Source organism: Homo sapiens, chromosome 5, assembly GCF_000001405.40.
Source record: "Homo sapiens chromosome 5, GRCh38.p14 Primary Assembly".
NCBI classification, from domain to species: Eukaryota; Metazoa; Chordata; class Mammalia; order Primates; family Hominidae; genus Homo; species Homo sapiens.
The window spans coordinates 16435136-16442821 of NC_000005.10; the positions used below are offsets into that span (position 1 = coordinate 16435136).

The 7686-nt window shown below is 46.1% G+C and overlaps 1 long non-coding RNA gene across 1 annotated transcript in view, besides 1 other annotated feature; it reads right to left on the reverse strand.

Moving 5' to 3' along the window:
- LINC02150 (long intergenic non-protein coding RNA 2150) overlaps positions 1-5967 on the reverse strand; it is a 67742-nt gene extending 61775 nt beyond the window's left edge. Inside the window, exons 1-4 of the long non-coding RNA NR_104625.1 lie at positions 5953-5967; positions 4751-4946; positions 4118-4340; positions 2239-2780 (exon numbers count right to left, since the gene is read on the reverse strand). This is a non-coding gene — a long non-coding RNA (long intergenic non-protein coding RNA 2150). The remainder of the gene's footprint in view (positions 1-2238; positions 2781-4117; positions 4341-4750; positions 4947-5952) is intronic.
- Positions 1081-1598: an enhancer, noted in NCBI's record as "H3K27ac-H3K4me1 hESC enhancer chr5:16436325-16436842 (GRCh37/hg19 assembly coordinates)". NCBI's record gives its function as "activates a minimal SCP1, AML or CMV promoter by ChIP-STARR-seq in primed H9 embryonic stem cells {active_cell/tissue: H9 hESC(primed)}" and the evidence as "EXISTENCE:reporter gene assay evidence [ECO:0000049][PMID:30033119]".
- Positions 5968-7686: the final 1719 nt, after the last annotated feature.

Sequence of the window (7686 nt, forward strand, 5' to 3'; positions counted from 1 at the left end):
ACTGGTAAGAGGAAGGTTATTGGGACAAATCTCAGCCCCTTTCAGTGACTACATCTGGTGTCATGATCTCCCTCCTCTGCTTTCACACTTTTAAACAGCACTGCTGTAGTCTGGGGGGCTTACCTGGTGGGATGACCATGATTTTCATCCCAGGAGACCCTAAGCCCTGCCTTACCATGAAAACATGGCTTGGTGGCATAACCAGTTCCAGCCATGGCTACTGCACTTGCTCATTTACAATGAAGATCTGGCAAGGGGGTACCAAGAGACAACCTAGTGAGTCACCTGGGTGGCTGTGATCACAACTGGACAGCAGCTGTAGCTTAAAGTGTAATGGAATTCTTGTGTTCCCTCGTAGAAGCATTCTCCCCTTGGAGATAAGGACCTGGGAGAGACTAAATGTGCAAGGACAAGCAAGCACAAATTCCTCAAGCAGGTCATTGGGAGTAATGGTACTGGAGCCAGACCTACTCCAATCATTGTTTTCTTATTGTTTTCTTTTCTCGCTCTGTCACATGGCTGGAGTGCAGTGGCGCAATCTTGGCTCACTGCAACCTCACCTCCCAGTTCGAGTGATTCTCTGCCTCAGCCTCCCGAGTAGCTGGGACTACAGGCACACTCCACCATGTCCAGCTAATTTTTGTATTTTTTGTAGAGACGGGGTTTCACCATGTTGGCCAGGTTAGTCTCAAACTCCTGCCTCAAGTGATCCACCAGTCTTGGCCTCCCAGAGTGCTGGGATTACAGGCATGAGCCACCACACCAGGCCCCAATCATTGTCTCCTGAGGCCATCAATCCCACCTATTGGAGACGTAGCACTATATAACGGGCATTGGTTCAATGCCACCCTGTCCTTACAACATATTGAGAGGTGACAGCGTGCTGGCAGCCCTCACAGCCCTCGCTTGCTCTCGGCGCCTCCTCTGCCTGGGCTCCCACTTTGGTGGCACTTGAGGAGCCGTTCAGCCGGCTGCTGCACTGTGGGAGCCCCTTCCTGAGCTGGCTGAGGCCGGAGCCGGCTCCCTCAGCTTGCCGGGAGGTGTGGAGGGAGAGGTGGGGCAGGAACTGGGGCTATGCACAGTGCTTGCAGGCCAGCACGAGTTCCGGGTGGGTGTGGACTCGGCACGCCCGGCACTCGGAGCCTCCGGCCATCCCTGCCGGCCCTGGGCAATGAGGGGCTTAGCACCGGGGCCAGCGGCTGCAGAGGGTGTGCTGGGTCCCCCAGCAGTGCCGGCCCACCAGCGCTGCGCTGGATTTCTCGCCGGCCTTAGCTGCCTCCCCTCAGGGCAGGGCTCAGGACCTGCAGCCCACCATGCCTGAGCCTCCCACTCCCTCCGTGGGCTCCTGTGCACCCAAGCCTCCCCAATGAGCACCACCCCCTGCTCCACGGCACCCAGTCCCATCGACCACCCAAGGGCTGAGGAGTGCAGGCGCACGGCACGGGACTGGCAGGCAGCTCCACCTGCGGCCCTGGTGCGGGATCCACTGGGTGAAGCCAGCTGGGCTCCTGACTGGTGGGGACTTAGAGAACCTTTATGTCTAGCTAAGGTATTTTAAATACACCAATAGGCACTCTGTGTCTAGTTCAAGGTTTGTAAACACACCAATCAGCACCCTGTGTCTAGCTCAGGGTTTGTGAATGCACCAATGGACACTCTGTATCTAGCTACTCTGGTGGGGACTTGGAGAACCTTTGTGTCCACACTCTGTATCTAGCTAATCTAGTGAGGACGTGGAGAACCTTTGTGTCTAGCTCAGGGATTGTAAACGCACCAATCAGTGCCCTGTCAAAACAGACCACTCGGCTCTCTGTAAAATGAACCAATCAGCAGGATGTGGGTGGGGCCAGATAAGAGAATAAAAGCAGGCTGCCCGAGCCAGCAGTGGCAACCTGCTGGGTCCGCTTCTACACTGTGGAAGCTTTGTTCTTTAACTCTTTGCAATAAATCTTGCTGCTGCTCACTCTTTGGGTCCACACTGCCTTTGTGAGCTGTAACACTCACCCCGAAGGTCTGCAGCTTCACTCCTGAAGCCGGTGAGACCACTAACCCACCGGGAGGAAAGGACAACTCCAGATGCCCCACCTTAAGAGCTGTAACACTCACCGCGAAGGTCTGCAGCTTCACTCCTGAGCCAGCAAGACCACAAACCCACCAGAAGGGAGAAACTCCAAACACATCCGAACATCAGAAGGAACAAACTCCAGACACGCCGCCTTTAAGAACTGTAACACTCACTGTGAGGGTCCGCGGCTTCATTCTTGAAGTCAGTGAGACCAAGAACCCACCAATTCCGGACACAGTATCACCTGCAGGCTGGCACTTTAGCTGTGCTGTCAAAAACCTCTAGTAGATAGGCAGTTTCTGGATGGTGTTATCCTATCATCATATGTCCATTGTTGTCCTTCTTTTGCTATAAAATGGGGCCAGTGGTCCACAGTCACGTTATGCAGGATTCCATGTCAGTTTATCATATAATCTATAAGCTTACAGGTGGTCATGCTGCCTGAGTCCCTGTGGGTAGGAAAGGTAAAGCCATCTCTGGAATATGTGTCAATTCCAGTCAAAATCAATTACTGCCATTTCCAGATTGAAAGGAATCTGATGTGATCAAGTTGCTAGCAAGTGGCTGGTTAGTCTCCTCTGGGGACTGTGTTTGTTGAAGAGCTCAGTGTTGGTTTCTGTTGCTGGCAGGTTGGACATTTGGTAGTGGTAATAGATATATTAAGTAATTACTTGACTTCATGGAGATCCACTGTCAATTATCAGGACCCCTGGTTCTGAAGGGGGACAGAGAGATAATTAAATGGGGACATGATGGGGACCACTTGTAGTGTTGAGCATGTTTAGAGTGCCAGATTTCTTGGCCATTCCCCTGGATGTGATTTTTTTTTTTAATTTATTCTCTTGGCCATGGTAAGAAAGTTTCAGAGGCTTCTATGTAGCCCTCTTCACTACAGACCATACTGGTTGGCCCTACAAACCAAGGAACTAATGAGAAGATTCTGCTGACTACTACGGATTTCAATTATACATCCAGAGACTGAATAAATGACCACCAGGTGGATCCATGGAGCCAAAGAATCCCTTGTGAAATCAACTAGGTCTGGACTTCTTATTTCTTACTCTTCATAAGCTCCCACTTCAGCAAGGGGCCTGGATGAAACAAAACTTCCTGAATACCAGTGGAGATTGGACTATGCCCAAGAGTCCTGGAAATATCTAGGATTGCCCTTTTTCCCATTGAACAGTTACCCAAGTAAGTGGCCACAGATCCCTTTGAGTAAAGACTGGGGGAACTGTTATCATATGCACTTGCCATAGTATAGCAGGCTCCTTCCTCAAACCAGCCTCTCCAGTCAACAGGTTCTGGGTCAAAGGACAGGCTCAGATCTGGAAATTGGCCATGACTCTTCAGTGAAGTGTTGGCATTATTCTTATGTGTCCCTGTATCTTGCCCTTAATAACACTGTGGTCTAGTAACCATCTCCACAGCTCTCTTTGGGTGAGGACTCCTGGCTGCCACTCCAACCTTTCCATTCATGATAATAATTGCATCCTTCTTGGTCTGCTACCTATAGTCTACCACCCAGCCTCTATCAATCTGGGATCTTACCATCCCCATTGCTGTTATATAGAAGCCCACTGCTGTTATATAGAACCATCCCAGTTATATAGAACCCCGGCACAATATACAGTATCAGCCCTCCCCTAGAGGGGGTAGCCACCATTGAGTTTCTCATTGACACATTGCCCCTCTCACCAGCTCATTTCTTACAGCTTTGGTAAAAGGTTGCCTTCTGGGTGCCCCTGTGAAATACAGTGAACTGGTAGATTGTTCGGTCTTACAAAGTACAGTAGGCCCCCATTATCTGTGGGAAATACATTCCAAGGCCACCCCACAGGTGGATGCCTGAAAACGCGAATAGTACCAAACCCCATATATATGATGTTTTTTCCTATACATGCACTGTGGCACTTTTGCAGTTTGAGGTATAACCACAAAACTAGCATAAATTTATTTGTCCTTCTTCACAATTTCACAGGTAAAAAATTTGTTCTTACCATGGATCTTAGCAACCTCAGCATATAATTTTTTTTCCTTAAGAACTTTTACCTTTTCACTTAAAGGAAGCACTTTACGGCTTCCCTTTGGCATATTTGAATCACCAGCATCACCACTCTTGTGCTTTGGGGCCATTATTAGGTAAAATGAGGGTGCCTTGAACACAAGCACTGCGATACCTCGACAGTCCATCTGATCACCGAGATGGTGAAGTGGCTAACTGGAGGGAAGTGTTGACAGTGTGTATCCACTGGACAAAGGGACAATTCACATCCTGCGGGGGACAGTGCAAGACTTCATCACACTACTCAGAACAATGTGCAATTTAAATCTTACAAATTATTGATTTCTGGAATCTTCTATTTAATATTTTCAGCCCACAGTTGACTGGGGGTAACCAAACTGTGGAAAGCAAAACCATGGATAGGGAGAACCAGTGTACAGTTGTCCCTCAGCATCCATAAAGGATTGGTTCCAGAACCTACCTTGGATACCAAAATCTATAGATACTCAAGTCTGTGATATAAAATGGCCTAGGATTTACATATAACCTACACACACCCTCCCATACACTTTAAATCACCTCTAGATTACTTATAATATCTAATATCATGTGAATGCTATGTAAATAGTCACTATACTGTATTGACTAGGGAATCATGACAAGGAAAAAAATGTCTGTACATGTTGAGTATGGGATGCCACTTTTTTCCCAAATGCTGAATATTTTCAGTCCGAGGTTGAATGAACCCACAGATACAGAGAGCTGACTGCATATCCACCGTAGCATTCCTGCTTCTCGGAGCCTTTTGATCTCTTTCTTCATCATCTGCTAAGGCATTTCTCACATATCTCCTCCACATAGTTGATCATTGCATTTCTAAGAAAGAAAAGAGTCAACAAAGATACCCCAAGAGTCAACCAAGAAGAGTGCTAAATTCTCTATCTCAGGGGAGTGCTCCCACATAGATAAAGTTTCCAGTATCCAACTATATATTGCATCCTTCTTAACCCAGGCCCTTCAGGATTCATCCCATATATATTCTTCCACTCCTGCTAGTACTTGCTGGCTCAGTCTTGCATCTTCTTTGGTGTCTATTTTTTCCTTCCTTATCACAATCAGCACTTCTCCTGTCAAGTTTTATTGTACTTGACTCTAGTTCAGGGTCTGCAAACTTTGCCTGTAAAGAACCCGATAGTAAACATTTTTGGTTTTGTGGGCCATATGGACTTTGTCGTGACTACTCAGTTCTCCCATTGTAGCATGAAGGCAGCCATAGGCAATGTGTCGTTGAATGGATGTGGTTGTATTAAACTAAAACTTTATTTACCAAAATAGACTGCAGGCTGGATTTGGCCAGGAGACTGCAGTTGCTGATCCCCATTGTATTTACTGGCCTAGTGTCCAGGAATGGAGTTGGGATCAACCCTGACTTAAGAACACGCTATCTTGCAAGAAAAAGCTCCTGCACTCTCTTCAAGCAAGGGTAGCACTAGCTTTTAATAGGGAGCAGTGGGCCCAGACGGTTGAGGGGAATCTGAAGATTCGAGATTTTTGGTGCAGGAACACATATATCCTTATTCCAAGTCTCAGCATCTCACTCCTTCCTAGTCAGGGTCCTGACCTTGGCATAGCACACTTACTAGGATTGAAAATTTTAACCTTCTCTGGAGCCCTCCTGGCCTTATAATTAAGTTCTAGGCTTGATCCTGGCTTTTTTCTACTTCTGGCTGCGGGAGATGAGAAGCTCTTTATAAACTGCCATAGGCCCTCTGGCTTTCACACTTAGCCTTAAATTGGTAATTAATCATTGTATCCTTTCATCCCCTTTCTCTAATTCATTTTATAGCACTCAGAAACAGCCATCCAATTCTATTGTACTTACAATTACCACTTCCCCTGGACCCCTAGATATCTCGGATACTAGACTTACCAATGCATTGCCTTCCAGCAGTTACATCACAGTGACTGTTGCAACAATTGCATAGTTACAGCCTGCCAGGGGCTGTAGGTAATCCACCCACCCACCCCTAGTTATGGTGTCCTCCCTGCTGGCTGGTCAGCTGGTGACCCAGTTCCAGATTCCATTTTAGAGTCTCCTTCCTCGGACCATTCCTAGCACCAGTGGTTTTAGGAATGCTTACCTGAGAAATAGGGTCTGAGGTGGAGATATACATGCAGGACTTTTACTGGGGAGTGCTTTTAGGATCAATACCCATAAAGAAGAGAAAAAGGATTCCATAGAGGGAGAAATTGAATTATGATTCTGTTGCAGTAAAGGCCTTCAGCAATCCCATGGACTGCTGTCAGAGTTGTCTAGACAAGGCAAGGGGCCAGCCAGCCACAGGATGCGTGCTGCCCCCCAAACCCCAACTGCAGAAGGGGTAGGGCCTTGGGCAGGGCAGCTCTCTTCTGCTAAGGGAGGGATTCCCAAAGACAGACTCATTTGTGAGACAACAAAAGCCAGCACTCCTGGCAGCTGGGCGAATGAGTGCCTGAGTCCTGGAGGGGAGATCGGGGCTGCACACCACCGCATCCACTACAAGCATGTGCAGTGGTTGAGTTCATGTCCACAGTAAGCGTGTCAGATAGGCATCCATGAGCCCAGCTTTACTGACACACCCTAGTTACCAGGAATCCTGGGAGAAGCCTTGGGTTCAACTAATTGTTGCGATTGTAATTGTGGTTCCTGAAGGAATTCTAGATGATAAACGCAATAAAGTAGCAGTGATTTATTGTATATAGAAACTTTAAAACCCACTTTTGAAGGGTAAAATAACAAGAAAGAGGAAGGAAAGAATAAAGGAAGGAAGGAAGAAGAGAAGGAAGGAAGAACGTAAGGAAGGAAGAAGGGAAGGGGAGAGGAGGGGAGGGGAGGAGAAAGGAGAAAAATCAAGTCCTCTCAACTCACTAGAGCAGCCATATCTACTTAACTGGAGACAGGTATTATAAAAAGTTATTTTTCTACTTCCCTGCCTTTTAACAGACAACATTTTCTGCTTTTTGGCTGGGGAGAGGACATTTGAAGTACCATGAAGCCAAGTTTGTGACAGTGACAAACTTAAAGAGGTTACAATTTTGAAATATGTAAGTATTTAAGTTGGAATCAACAAAATACCTATTAATGTGTGTGACATGTACAGATGTCCAAATAAATGTAATTTATTTCCTATAAAGTCAGAATAATTGTGTAGGTAGAGTTAGAAAACATCATTTTAAATTATTTTGTCATTGAAGCTGCAAATTATTATAAAATCCCACAGAAATTGATAGTTGAAATGATTTTGAGATTCTCAAGTATTATCATAATACTTGCATAATTTGAAATTCTGATGAGTTCCTCAGAAGTTTATTTCCAAGTACCTGTAATCTTTTCATGTTGTTCAACATTAATTCATAGCCAGGACTTATCTTCAGGCAACTTTACGGCTTGTTCCTCTGTGAAATTCTGTAAGTTGGAGATTATAAACATGAAAACAATCAGTTGGGGCTCTTTTTGGCAGATTTTGAAATGTTGCCATTTGTTCAATTTCTATCCCTATAAACGTAGCAGGTACTGGATCTTATTGGTATCCAAAACATATCATCTCACCTTACATTTATTCTTCAGGAAATTAGG